The 14,219-nt window shown below is 45.4% G+C and overlaps 1 protein-coding gene across 13 annotated transcripts in view; it reads left to right on the top strand.

Annotated features, from left to right (window-relative positions):
- The window catches only part of FAM168B (family with sequence similarity 168 member B), a 45,585-nt gene that overhangs the window by 24,166 nt on the left and 7,200 nt on the right, over positions 1-14,219 (top strand). For all 13 annotated transcript variants that reach the window (NM_001321746.2, NM_001321745.1, NM_001009993.4 and 10 more), the window contains 2 exons: positions 13,600-13,742; positions 13,846-14,023. In NM_001321746.2, coding sequence (NP_001308675.1) covers positions 13,600-13,742; positions 13,846-14,023 — 321 coding nt within the window. The remainder of the gene's footprint in view (positions 1-13,599; positions 13,743-13,845; positions 14,024-14,219) is intronic.

Below are 14,219 nucleotides of genomic sequence, written 5' to 3'. Positions count from 1 at the left end.
AACGTAAGTTACTCTTCTAGGATTTTCAGAGGTAGCCCACTTTTACTCATTTCTTCATGGAGCACAAATCAGTGTGAAAATGTACTTAAAACTTTCAACTTTTTTATTTTACAAGAAGAACCTTGAGTTAATTTCAGGCTGAGAGCTGTTCTTGCCAAAAATGTGCAGCACTGCCTAGCAGAGGCAGGGTGGAGACTGAGTGCTGCTGACACCTTCCCCCCTTGGGTGCCTGTGGGGGCCACCCTGTGGAACATGGGCCACCCATCTCATTATTATTTTGAGACAGGGTCTTGCTCTGTCGCCCAGGCTGCAGTGCAGTGGTGCAATCACGCCTCACTGCAGCCTCGACTTTTCAGGCTCAAGCAATGCTCCCACCTCAGCCTCCCGAGTAGCTGGGATTACAGGTGCACACCACCACACTCGGCTAATTTTTCTATTTTTTTGTAGAGATGGGTTTCACTATGTTGTCTAGGCTGGTCGCAAACTCCTGGGCTTAAGTGATCCTCCTGCCTCAGCCTTCCAAAGTGCTGGGATTATAGCCGTGAGCTACCATGCCCAGCTTGTCACCCATCTTCTCGAACATCTCTCCTTTCTCATAGGGAGGTAAGGCCTGTGTTGTCCCTTTTCCAAGACTGCTCTCAAATTGTTCCTGTAATCCAGAAGCTGGGACAGGCAGGTAGCAACTGCAGCTGCCCAAACGGCCTACCTTGTTTAGAGGGGCATCTGCTGACGGGTGCCAGGCAGTTGTTAGGTGCCAGACTGCTGGCTCACCAGTGCCAGATCTTCTGGTCTTGTAGGAGAAGCTGTGAAATTGGTGAATGAAAAATATAAGGCAGCCGGGCACGGTGGTTTTCATTCCTGTAATCCTAGCACTTTGGGTTGCCAAGGTGGGCAGATCACTTGAGGCCAGGAATTCAAGACCAGCCTGGCCAATACAGTGAGACCCCATCTCTACTAAAAATACAAAAATGAGCCGAGTGTGGTGGCACACACTTGTAGTCCCAGCTGTTCAGGAGGCTGAGGCAGGAGAATCACTTGAACCTGGGAGGCAGAGGTTGCAGTGAGCCAAAATCGCACCACTGCACTGCAGCCTGTGTGACAGAGCGAGACTCTGTCTCAAAAAAAGAAAAAAGAAAAAGTCTTTCTGATGTCCCACAAGTGCTGTTGTCCATCTAACCTGAGTCTGGACCACAGCTGTGTGCCCATCTTTTTCTGGTATCCTCTCTGTTTTCATGTCTTGGGTGTTTGTTTTTAAGAGATGGGGGTCTTGTGGTTTCACCCAGGGTAAAGTCCAGTGGTACAGTTACAGCCTTTTTCTGCTGAGTTCAAGGGATTTTCCCAACGCAGCATCCCAAAGCGTTGGGATTACAGGCATAAACCACCACACCCAGCTTCATGTTTTGAATTTTATAACTCCCTTTTCAGTGAGCCTTTCCCTTTTTCTGATGAGCAAGCCAAAATTATCAGTATAAAAAATTTAAAAGAGAAGTTTTTCTCCCTTCCTGCTGCTTTTTCTCTGTCTTTCTCTGAAGGTGTGTGGAGGTGGGTGTGTATGTGTGTGTGTGTGTGTGAGTGTGATAGGATCTCACTTTGTTGCCTAGGCTGGAGTGCAGTGGCATGAACTTGGCTCACTGCCAAGCAATCCTGCCTCAGCTTCCCAAGTACCTGGAACCTTAGGCACAAGTCACCACACCTAGATTATTTTTTAAAAATTTTTGTAGAGATGGGGTCTCACTGTATTGCCCAAGCTGGTTTCAAATTCCTGAGCACAAGCAGTCCTCTCATCTTGACCTCTCAAAGTGTTGGGATTACAGGAGTGAGCCACTACACCCAGCCCCTGCTGCTTTCTTGATCTTGCCGTTCAGTTTGCACCCAATGCTGACTTGTGGTTTCAACGCTGTATATGCGGAGTCTGACTTCCAGAGCACTTTTGTAATCCAAATGCCACGTATTTCTTAGCCCTCTTCCAATTGTGATATAAGAGGATTCCGAGACCCTTGTGATGAGATGTCTTTTGCTGAAGAATTCTGTTTTTCAGAATCTGGGAATGGAGAAGGTGTCATTCATTTTGTCCTCCTGAACAAGGCTGTGTATGCACACATCAAGAGTGGTGGTGATATGGTTTGGCTGTGTCCCCACCCAAATCTCATCTTGAATTGTAGCTCCTGTAATCCCCACATGTCACTGGAGGGACCTGGTGGGAGGTAATTGAATCATGGGGGTGGATTTTTCCTGTGCTGTTCCCATGATAGTGAATAAGTCTCACGAGATCTGATGGTTTTATAAAGGGCAGTTCCCCTGCACACGTTTGCTCTTCCTTTGCCTTCCACCATGATTGTGAGGCCTCCCCAGCCATGTGTAACTGTGAGTCCATTAAACCTCTTTCCTTTATAAATTACCCAGTCTCGGGTATTTCTTTATTAGTAGTATGAGAATGAACTAATACAACTGGGCTGTCCATTTTTGGAATCAGAGCTTTGAATTGTGGAGTTAGCTAGATGTGGATTATACTCCTGACTGTGTCACTCCCTGGGAAAGTTGTTTAACTTCACCCTTGGCATTGGAATAATGAATAAATAACTCCTTGATTTCTTATGGGAGGATTTCAGCCCCAAGCCTACGATCAGGCATAGATGTCAGCTGGGCCAGCACATTGAGGCCTCTGTTCTGGTCCTACTTAGAGTCACAAGTACCTGTAACTAATATTGGTAATGATGATCTGAAATTGTCAAAACAGTCTGTTCTTTGTAATAAGCTCTACACACAAGGTTGTTTAGATATTTATTACATTAGCACTTATTTTTAAAAGGTACAAATTTAGGCCGGGTGCAATGGCTCATGCCTGTAATCCCAGCACTTTGGGAGGCCGAGGCGGACGGATCACGAGGTCAGGAGATCGAGACCATCCTGGCTAACACGGTGAAACCCCGTCTCTACTAAAAATACAGAAAATTAGCCGGGTGTGGTGGTGGGCGCCTGTAGTCCCAGCTACTCGGGAGGTTGAGGCAGAAGAATGGCATGAACCTGGGAGGCGGAGCTTGCAGTGAGTGAGTCGAGATCGAGATCGCACCACTGCACTCCAGCCTGGGCGACAGAGCGAGACTCCACTCAGTCTCAAAAAAAAAAAAAAAAAGATACAAATGTTGCAAAGAGTGATGGAGTGATGAAATAGCTTCCATGGTCATTGGTGTGTATGGCTGGGTGGAGGGTAAATTGGAGAAACTTCTTTGGAGGGCAGTTTGGTAGTGTATGTTAGAAGCTTAAAAATGAACCCTTTCGACCCACTTCTAGGAATGTATTCTAAGGGCAATAATTGGATGTGCAAACATTTATGTACAGGTACACATGCATTTAATTACGAAGTGATGGTTTAATTAAACTGTTTATCACACAGTGTTTATCTGGTTTTGGTACTTGTTTATGGAGAATATTTAATGATAAGTGAAAATGGTTTACAGTAGAGCTTTCTTTTCTTTTTTTTTTTTTTCTTTTTTTCTTTTTTTTTTGAGCTGGAGTCTCGCTCTGTTGCCCAGGCTGGAGTGCAGTAGTGCGATCTCAGCTCACTGCAAGCCTTGCCACCTGGGTTCAAGCGATTCTCCTGCCTCAGCCTCCTGAGAAGCTGGAATTACAGGCGCTCTCCACCACGCCGGCTAATTTTTGTATTGTTAGTAGAGACGGGGTTTCTCCATGTGTGTCAGGCTGGTCTTGAACTCCTGACCTCAGGCGATCCCGCCCACCTAAGCCTCCCAAAGTGCTGGGATTACAGACATGAGCCCCCATGCCCGGCGTTTCTTTTCTTTTTGAACTCAGAATTATAGCCATAAAATGAAACCCTTGGTTTGTTTAAAAATTAAACTTCATGCATGGCAGCCGAGGGGGAGAGAATAGCCTTTGGAATATTAATAGTCTGTGAGGTCTTGTGGAGCCTGTTTCTTTCCCTCTTAAAGGTTTACATTCATAGAGGTAAAAGATTGCAGTGCTCCACAAGGCTTTTAAAAATGAACAATAGCAGTTGCCTGCTCCCTTGTGGGAGCCCCCACATTTCACTCCCCATGGGCAAACTCCAGCTCTTTAACTCTTTAAAGCTGCTTTTGCTCGTGCCTTCCGTGCTTCCACATGACATGTTTCTGCTGTTCCCTGCTTCTTTTTTTGTTTGTTTTTGTAAAGTGGCACTGCTTTACTGACTTCTCACTTTGCTGCCCCGACCTTCCTTCACAGTTCTATTATTGTGGCCGCATCAGCACTGTTCACGGCTGTGTCTTCTGTGCGGCGATCCTGTTGTCCTGTGCCCTGTTGCAGTTTCTTCTGCATCTACTGCGGTGTCCCTGGAATTAATACTGTACTTATCTGGTGTCTTTGATTAGGTTTCTGTGACCATAGCATTAATTAAACCTCCAGCTACCCCCGATGTGTTGAGATCTCTTCTTAGCAATTTCAGATACTTGTGTGTTGTTTTCCTGGTGATCTCTGAAGCCCTCCCTTCCTCTCTCTTATCTGGACTGGTTGTCCTCTGGGCCAGACCCTGGGGGGGTCACTGTTCTCATCATCCCAGGGCTTGCTTTTGCCTTTCCCTTCTGCCTGAGTTCTTTTCTTTTTTCCTCGTTTACTCTGGTTTTGGCGGGGGATTTTCTTCAGTAACCACCTGGGAGAGTATGGAAAAGTCACAATTTTGAGATTTTCCATGTCTGAAAACATTTTATTCTGCACGCACACTTCGTTGATGGTTGTCTGGATACAGAATTCTAGAGAGCAGTTATTTCCCCCCAGAATATTCGGGTGTTTGCTCAATGGCTTTCCAGCTTCCACCACTGTTGCTGAGAATTGGGGTACCTTGTTGGTGCCTGATTGAGTGTAACCTTGGTTTTTCTTTGCTATTCTGTAGGATTTTTGCCTCCAGTGTTCAGAAATTTCATGATGCTGTGTTTTGGCACAGATCTTCTCTCCTCACATGTACTTCAGGCTTCTGAATTTTTTAAATTTTCTAAATAAATGTCTTTTTTTACTCAAAAAATTATTATAAAAAAATCCGCGTGGTACACAGTACTTTTGAAAAAAAAAATGACCTATTTAAATAAAAAGTTTCTGGTTCCCGAACAGTTGGCATTCTAAAATCAGTGACCCTGTGCATGTCCTCTTCCCTGAGGGCACAGCCAGGGTCACTCACAGGTCTGGTGAAGTGGAAGGAGGGAGCGTCTGTTGTCTGCGCCGCCTGGGTTGCATCAGTACAGATGGGCTTCCTGGGGAGGGAGAATCTGAAAAGCTGTTGTTTTGGAAAGACCTAGCACTGAATGAATTTGATATTTCAGGGAGGCAGTGTATATTTTTGGGTACGATGAGGTAATTGTGTGTATTTATTTAAAGTTTGTGAAGTTCCTGTTGAGTTACTATGGAGGGATATGGTGGACTTAGTGCTGAATGAAAAAAAAAAGGTGGCAAGCACACACTGTCTATTTTTAATTAAAAAAATTTTTTTACTTAGTGTTTTAAATTTTTAAAATTATTATTATTAGTTTTTAGAGACAGGGTCTTGCTCAGTCGCCCAGGCTGGAGTGTGGTTGCACAATCATAGCTCACTGTAACCCAGAATTGCTGTGCTCAATGAGCGATCCTCCTGCCTTGGCCTCCTAAATCGCTGAGACTACAGGTACACCCCACCATGCCTTGCTAATTTTTATTTTGTAGAGACAAGGTCTCGCTATGCTGCTCAGGCCAGTCTCAGAACTCTTGGAATCAAGTTATCCTCCCATCTTGGCCTTCTAAAGTGTTGGGATTACAGGTGTGCACCATAGCTCTTGGCCCCACACTAAGTCTTAAATTGATAGGGAGACCTGTTTGCCTTACTTGAAATGCACTTGTCTTAAGTGCTGGCTAGAAAATGGTGTAATATTCATGCCTAAACCAAAGACCAAAAGTTTTCTGGTGAGCATTAGAACGTAGCCTCACAGTCATAAGAATAAACAGTAAGATAATATATATTAAAAACCATTGTTGTGATTAGAAATCGTTGGTGACTTTTTTCAACATTTTATTGTAAAAAATTTCAGATGTCACAGAAAAGTTGCAGAAATTTCACAGTGATCACCTATATATGGACTGCTAAGATTCTACGATTAAATTTTTTAAATTTAAAAAATTTCAGATGTCACAGAAAAGTTGCAGAAACTTCACAGTGATCACCTATATATGGACTGCTAAGATTCTACGATTAAACTTTTTAACGTCAACTTTTACAAGTAACATTTTACTTGTATCACATACACATTACTCCATCCATCCTTCAGTCCATCTTATTTTTTGATGGGTTTCATTTCAGAGTAAGTTGTGGTCCTCAGTATATCTTACCTCAATAACTTGAGCATGCACATCATTATTTGTTTAGTTCCTTTTTGGTTTTGTTTTTAAGTAAAATGTGCATGTGTGAAATGCACAAGTTTAGCATCCCATGCATTGCATGCTGAGTTGCATATGCATGCTTCCTTGGAGCAGTCGCTCCTTTTGCTTCAGCAACGCCTACCTGTAAAGTAGGTGTTGTAAGACACCTTGGGTAGGCCGGACGCGGCGGCTCATACCTGTAATCCCAGCACTTTGGGAGGCCGAGGTGGGTGGATCACTTGAGATCAGGACTTCGAGACCAGCCTGGCCAACATAGGTGAATCCAGTCTCTACTAAAAATACAAAAATTAGCTAAGCATGGTGGTGCACGCTTGTAATCCCAGCTACTCGGGAGGCTGAGGTAGAAGAATCGCTTGAACCCGGGAGGCAGAGGTTGCAGTGAGCTGAGATAGCACCGCTGCACTCCAACCTGGGCAACAGAGCGAGACTCCGTCTCAAAACAAAAACAAAAAAGACACCTTGGGTGATTGGATTGGGAAACCTAGGGCTAGCTGCAGGGATTTCTGCAGTGGGAGGCTTCCAGTAGAAGAAAAGGAAGACATCGTAGGTGGGCCCCTCGACTGTGTATCCTAAGGAAATGAGGCATGAAAAAGGACTTCACCTTTTTTCAGTGGCTGTGGTGGGCCAGATGAGCACTTGTGGCTGAGAGACTCCCTCTTTGGAGAGAGGTGTTCTCAGATTTTCCTCACTTTGGTTTTATACTCTGTATTAGAGGTTTGTTTGGGTTGGCAGCTTGCATCTTCTCTTCACTCTGAGCTCTTTCTGCAGTTTGAAGAGTGATAAAAAGGTCAAGGACTTTCTTATTAGCAATGTTGATGGATGTGGGTCGTGGGTTTATTGCTTGTTTTGACTTCTTTTAACAGCTTTTCCTTTTTCTTCTCATTCTTTCTTTAGTGAATCAGTTTATCAGATAGAACTGTAACTTCTTGTTGCACATTGGCTGTATATATTGAACATGTCCAGTGGCATAGTTTAACTTTTTTTCCAGCCTATGCCTAACTGCCAGGCCATCTTCCAGATCAGCATCTTTCAGACTGCTATAGAATCCTTCCTGCTGATGGCCTTTTTAAAGGCTTGGCAAAATTTTGTATTCATCTTCTTCTTCTTTTTTTTTTTTTTCGAGACAGGGTCTCCCTCTGTCGCCCAGGCTGGAGTGCATTGCCGCAGTCTCTGCTCACTGCAACCTCCACCTCCCAGGTTCAGCTGATTCTCCCACCTCAGCTTCCCGAGTGGCTGGGACTACAGTCGTGTGGCCACCAAGCCTGGCTAACTTTTGTATTTTTAGTAGCGATGGGGTTTCACCGTGTTGGCCAGGCTGGTTTCAAATTCCTGACCTCAGGTGATCCGCCTGCCTCAGCCTCCCAAAGTGCTGGGATTACAGGCATGAGCCACTGCGCCTGACTATAATTCATCTTCTAGGGGTGCGTTTGGGTGTGGTGATCCGTGGGCCCTTTCAGCTAACTTCCTTGCTTGTTCTTTTACCTCATGCATGACTGTTGTTTCCATGGAGATTTTCTGGCTAGCGTACACGCTCTCAGTTGTGTGTCAGCATCTGAAAGTACTGTATACTTTTCACCTTGCTTATTTTTACTTTTTTTTTTTTTTTAAATTTTGGAGGCGAGGTTTTGCCAGCTTGGCTAGGCTCGTCTCAACTCCTGGGCTCATGTGATCTGCCCACCTTGGCCTCCCAAAGTGCTGGGATGACAGGCGTGAGCCACCACGCCCGGCCTTCCACCTTATTAAAAAAATTGGGCCAGGCGCGGTGGCTCACGCCTGTCATCCCAGCACTTTGGGAGGCCAAGGTGGGTGGATCACAAGGTCAGGAGATCAAGACCATCCTGGCTAACACGGTGAAACCCCGTCTCTACCAAAAAAAAAAAAAATTAGCCAGGCTTGGTGGTGGGCGCCTGTAGTCCCAGCTACTCAGGAGACTGAGGCAGGAGAATGGCGTGAACCCGGGAGGCGGAGTTTGCAGTGAGCTGAGATTGCGCCACTGCACTCCAGCCTAGGCAACTGAGCGAGACTCCGTCTCAAAAAAAAAAAATTACGTATACAGAAAAGTTGAGCGGACAATACAGTGGATGTCCATAGTACCCACCACTTAGATTCCCCAGTGATCTTTCCCCATATTTACCTTATGTAAGGATGAGTGTTGTGTGGTTTTTCTTTTATTCTTGTGGAATCAATTCAGAATCCTTTGTGTCTTGTCCAATGGACTTGAGTGTAGCCCTCCCTAACATGAGTGAGGTGTGCTTTTGCCTGTCCACACTTAGAAACAGCAGGTCTCTAATTTTAAAAGTAGCTCCTATTTACATTTGCCCAGTTACCCCCTAAGTTTTAAAAAACGTTTGGAATCAGAATAATGTACTCAGCATCACATAGTGAATTTTTTATAAAGTTGAATTTATGTCTCTTATCTCTTTCAATCTGTAGCAGTCTTCCTTGTATTTTTTAATACTTTGACTTCAAAAGAGTGATTAGGAAACGTTTCAGATATTTACAGAAATACATGGGAACATAATTCCCACTCACACATTGCCTTGCTTTAGCACAAGTACATGGGAATATTCCTACTCACGGCCGGGCGCGGTGGCTCACGCTTGTAATCCCAGCACTTTGGGAGGCCAAGGCAGGCGGATCACGAGGTTGGGAGTTCGACACCAGCCTGGCCAATATGGTGAAACCCCATCTCTACTAAAAATACAAAAATTAGCTGGGTGTGGTGGTGCACGCCTGTAGTCCCAGCTACTTGAGAGGCTGAGGCAGAAGAATCTCTTAAACCTGGGAGGTGGAGGTTGCAGTGAGCCAAGATGGTGTCAGCACTCCAGCCTGGGTGACAGAGCGAGACAGCGAGACTCCATCCAAAAAAAAAAATTCCTGCTCACACATCACCTGGCTTAAGCACAAGTACATGGGAATATACTTCCCACCTACACATCACCTGGCTTTAGCAGTTACCACCTTATGGCTGATCTTTTTCATCTGGGCCCCTGCCACTTTCCTCTGTATTATTTTGAAGCAAATCTCAGACATTATATTCATCAGCTTTTTAAATATTATCTTTAAAAGATAAATTAGAACTGTGTCATTGTCACACCTAAAAATTTTTTTTATCACTACTGAGATTGTAATCAGTGTTCATATTTCCAGTTATCTGTCATGAATGTTTTTAATTGTATGAAGAAAGGGAACCCTGTGGGTTTGTTTGTTTAAACTGTTGGAAGTTTGGAATGAGATTCCCAACTTTGAAGTCTAGCATCTGTTCTCAGGATGTGACACACAGAGGGTAGCTCTATGTTTTGACATTTTTATAAAAAAAATATCATCTTGGTCAGATAAGAGTTTGGTGACTCCTGGGAGGATCTCTTTTCAGGCTAGTGGAAATATGAGGCAGAAAACTGGGATTAAGCCGTACAGTGGGGATCCCATTCGGCAGTGTCTCCTTTAGGTACAGCTGAAGGTACCCGCTGGTGTCTGGCTGCTGCATGGTGGTGGGAAATGAAAGAGGTGGTGTGGCTGGGGAGAAGGGAGCTATCCAAGATGACCCTTGACGTCCCTCATCCCCACAGTTTCTTTCATTTGAGACATCCTTGCCCCACCTGCCCCTCTCTGAGCTGACTCCTCATTGCTTGCCAAGACTGCATAAAATGCTGCTATGTTGGTGGTTTGTTTTCCTGTGATTTCTTTTCCCCCTGAAGCCAAGCACCTTATGGAGAGGGCTGGATCTGTCCTGATCATCTCCGCTGTGACAGGGCATGGCCCCATGTTGATGGTGAATAGCCTCTCTGTGTTGGTACAATGCCCCAGTCACCATTCACTAGTCACATGTGTGCCCGCCACACACCATGCTTCCTTTTTGCATTTCTTCCCTGAGTTAGCTAGTCACTTAGGGGGAATTGGACTGTCCCGGGTCTCCTGGGAGTATCAGTACATGGCCGGACACACTACCTTTTCCTTTATAATTCTTTGATGGCATTCACACTACCTTTTTCTTTATAATTAAAGAAAATGTTATACAACCTCGTTGTGGCGTAATTGGCATACAACTAAGTGTACAGATTTAAAGCTTCAGTTTGATGAGTTTTAACCTGTGTACACCTGTGAAGCTTTCCTTTTCACTTTCCTTTTTTAGCCTTCTTAAAGACGAGGAGATGAGCAGCCAGAGAAGGAAACTCTGTAACTGCTCTTGTCTTGAAACTTGCTTTTCCAAATCCTAATGGAAAATCTGCGTATTCTGCTTTCCTTTGGCCAAGCACCAGTATTAAAAAGTTGTTGTATTCAAATTTTGGCAGTGTTTCTATTTACGGTTAACATAGCGGTGAGCGAATTTCAAAATACAGGGAGCCCTGGAGGAATCTTTTCTTTCTTCAAATGGAGACTAGCTGAGGTTGGGAGTTGCTTGGTTTGGGTAGAAGGGTCAGGACTCTGGATGCAGACAAATCTGGGTGTGAGCACCCGCTTTGCTGCATAGGACAGGACCACCTGTTGTTTGGTCTGCTGCAGATCTCAGCCACAGCACCTCCCACCGTGAGACCATGAAAGGGCATGCAGGGGAGTATGAGAAGGCTGATGTTGAAGGCTTCGTGTTGCTTAATTGATACAGTGTGCAGTATTTAGGTGAAAAAGCCCAGACTTCACCACTGTGCAATATATCCATGTCACAGAATTGCACTGGCACCCCAAACAAAAGGCCCCAGACTAGTGAATTTCCCAGGGGGCCAATCATTCTCTTTCCCTTTCAAATTAAAACAAAATATATGGACCAGGCACATATATATATACAGGCTCACACCTGTAATCCTACTACTTTGGGAGGCTGAGGCAGGAGGATCATTTGAGGCCAGGAGTTCCAGACTATCCTGGCCAACATGGCAAAATCCCGTCTATACTAAAAATTACAAAAATTAGCTGGATGTGGTGGCACATGCCTGCAATCCCAGCTACTCGGGTGGCTGGGGCATGAGAATTGCTTGAACCCAGGAGGCGGAGGCTGCAGTGAGCTGAGATTGCACCACTACACTCCAGCCTAGGGAATAGAGCAAGACTCCATCTCAAAAAATAAAAATAAAAAAAAAATACACACACGTACATATTGCTAACAGCCCAGTTGTGTAAAATTTTTTAAAAATTAACTTTAATTATTATTACTATTTTTCTGAGACAGCGTCTTACTTTGTCGCCCAGGCAGAATGCAGAGGCATAATTACAGCTCACTGCAGCGTTGACCTCCGGCTCAGGTGATCCAAAATTCTTTATACTCAGCTCATTTTTTCAAACTTGAGGTATAATTTATGCACAAAACACCCACATATTAAGTGCTCAACTGGGTGGGTTTTGACAGTTGTACATGCCCATGGAACCACCACTCCAAATAAAACATGGAATACTTTGATCATCCCAGAACGCTTTCTTCGCCCTCTCCCCTCTGATTTCCGTCACCGTAGGTAAATTTCTTTGTTGTTAGGGAATAAACGGGATCATTGCTCTATGTGCTGTTCTGTTTCCAGCTTCTTTGGAAAGCTCAGCATGTTGTGAGATTCATCCATGTTTTTTCCTTTTGATTGCTGAGTAATGTTTATAGAGACATATCATGATTTATCCTTTCTCCAGTTGATGAAGATTTGGATTAGTTCCCATTTTTGGCTACTAGGAATAAGATTGAACACTTTTTACAAGTCTTTCGTGGACCTGTGTTTTCATTTTTCTAGGGGAAGTTTTGGGAGTGGATTGCTGGATGTTGCGGGATGTGTCTCTGGCTTGCAAAGTTGCACTGTCTGACACGGACAGTGTGTGAGTGCTCCACCCCTCCTGCTCTCACCCATGGGAATGTGAGATGCCATAAGCACTTGTATGGAGGTCTGATTTACATATTATAAGTTAATCCTTCTCAGTGTACAGTTTGGTATGTTTGGACAGTCATACACAGCTGTATGACCGTCACCACATTTGAGTGAATGCACTCTTTGGAAAGGTTCTCGCATGCCCCTCTGGCCCCTGGCACCATTGCTGGGGTTTTGATGACTCTGGATTAGGTTGGTCTTTCCTAGAGCTTCTGTCAGTACATGCATCCAGCATGTGTCCTTGTATCTGGCTCCTTTGACATGGTGTGGCTTTGTGATTCATTCATGTGCTTGTATGGATCAGCAGTTTGTCCCTTTGGCTTGCTCAGTAGGATTTGTATGGATGCACCACAGTGTGTTTACCCATTTGTCTCCTGGTGGGCATCTGGGCCATTGCCAGCTTTTGATCATTGTGAATATAGCTGCTGTGAACATAGCTGTCCAGAGACCCTCTCCCTCCCCTGAGACCAAACCCCTCTTCTCTGTTGGGGTCAGGAAGGGACACCTAACTGCTTATTCAGCAAACTCAACCACTCTACTAGATGGGGTCTCTTTATCTGCTTCTGGAGACGGGTTGGTGGCCAGCAGTTTGCAGGGCTTTGGGGAACGGCTCTCTTGGTGCCAGCTGCTCCTCGCTGCTGGCTGAGTGCCTTCTTCTCGAGTCTGCTCAATCATCCTCCACTTCAGCTTGCCAGGCTTCAACATGCTGTCTTCTCTTCCATTCTTGGTGAGTTTTATGTCTTTTTTCTCTTAATCTGCTTTATTGTCATTTTCATGTCATTTTGTGTGGGGACAAAAGCAAGTATGTGTGTTCAGCTTTCTCCCTTAACCCAGAGGGCTTTTTACCATAGAGTGCTTAGCCAGTCCTGGTGCTGGGCAAGTTTCTCCTGTTTTTGCTGTAACAAACAACACTATGATGAGCATGCTTACAGTTAAGTCTCTGTGTGTGTATAGATCCATGTGTATTGCTTTAAGACAGACTTCTAGAAGTGGAATTGTGGGATTAAAAGGCATATATACTTTAGATGCCAAGTTTAGCCCCAGGAATGCCATACCAATTTAAATTCCAGCAGGACAAGACAGTTTTTATTTCCTGTCCTTGTGTGAGCATTCCATCTGTAGAACGTTCTCTTTTGGTATTTTTTCCTCCTCCCCAACACCCTGCCACCACACACACGTGCATGCACACACGTACACAAAGTAAGAATGAAGTCAGATCTTAGTGGAGGAGAGTGGGGGCGGCAGTGGCAGCAGGTCTGGCGAGTTGCGTGGGGCTGACACGCAGCTTAGCTCCTCCCTGCCTGTGTCCTCTCCCTGCGCCTGGACCGGCTTGGGTGAACTCAGGCCATTGCCTTCTTTGTTCCAGGTTACACTCCTGGCACACCTTACAAAGTGTCCTGTTCCCCCACCAGCGGGGCTGTGCCACCGTACTCCTCCTCCCCGAACCCCTACCAGACTGCCGTGTACCCTGTGCGAAGTGCCTACCCCCAGCAGAGCCCGTATGCACAGGTATGCTTGGGTACACACTGCTGTGTGGGAAGGGGTGATACCACCTGGGCGTTCATCCTTTGGCCCTGGGACCCTGTGTCAGTTGTCTCTCTTCTCCCCACAGCAAGGCACGTACTACACACAGCCGCTGTATGCAGCACCTCCTCACGTCATCCACCACACCACGGTGGTGCAGCCCAACGGCATGCCTGCAACGGTGTACCCTGCTCCCATCCCCCCTCCTAGAGGCAACGGGGTCACCATGGGCATGGTGGCTGGGACCACCATGGCCATGTCAGCAGGTAAGTCCTCGTTCCTGCGGTGTCTGTCCTATGGTGTACCCTAGAGCTGGGGGAGGGGAGAGCTCACGAATCCTCTGACCCTTGGCTCTAGGTTTTCATAGCTGTAGTTGTGTGGAAGGACAGAAAATTCTTTGGGGAAGAAACAGCAGGTTATCTTTTATTTTGCCTACCTGAGTGACCCCTTGTGGAGGCCTCT

This window comes from Homo sapiens, chromosome 2 (assembly GCF_000001405.40).
Source record: "Homo sapiens chromosome 2, GRCh38.p14 Primary Assembly".
NCBI classification, from domain to species: domain Eukaryota; kingdom Metazoa; phylum Chordata; class Mammalia; order Primates; family Hominidae; genus Homo; species Homo sapiens.
The sequence above is the reverse complement of the archived record's forward strand: the minus strand, read 5'-3'. Positions and strand labels throughout refer to the sequence as shown.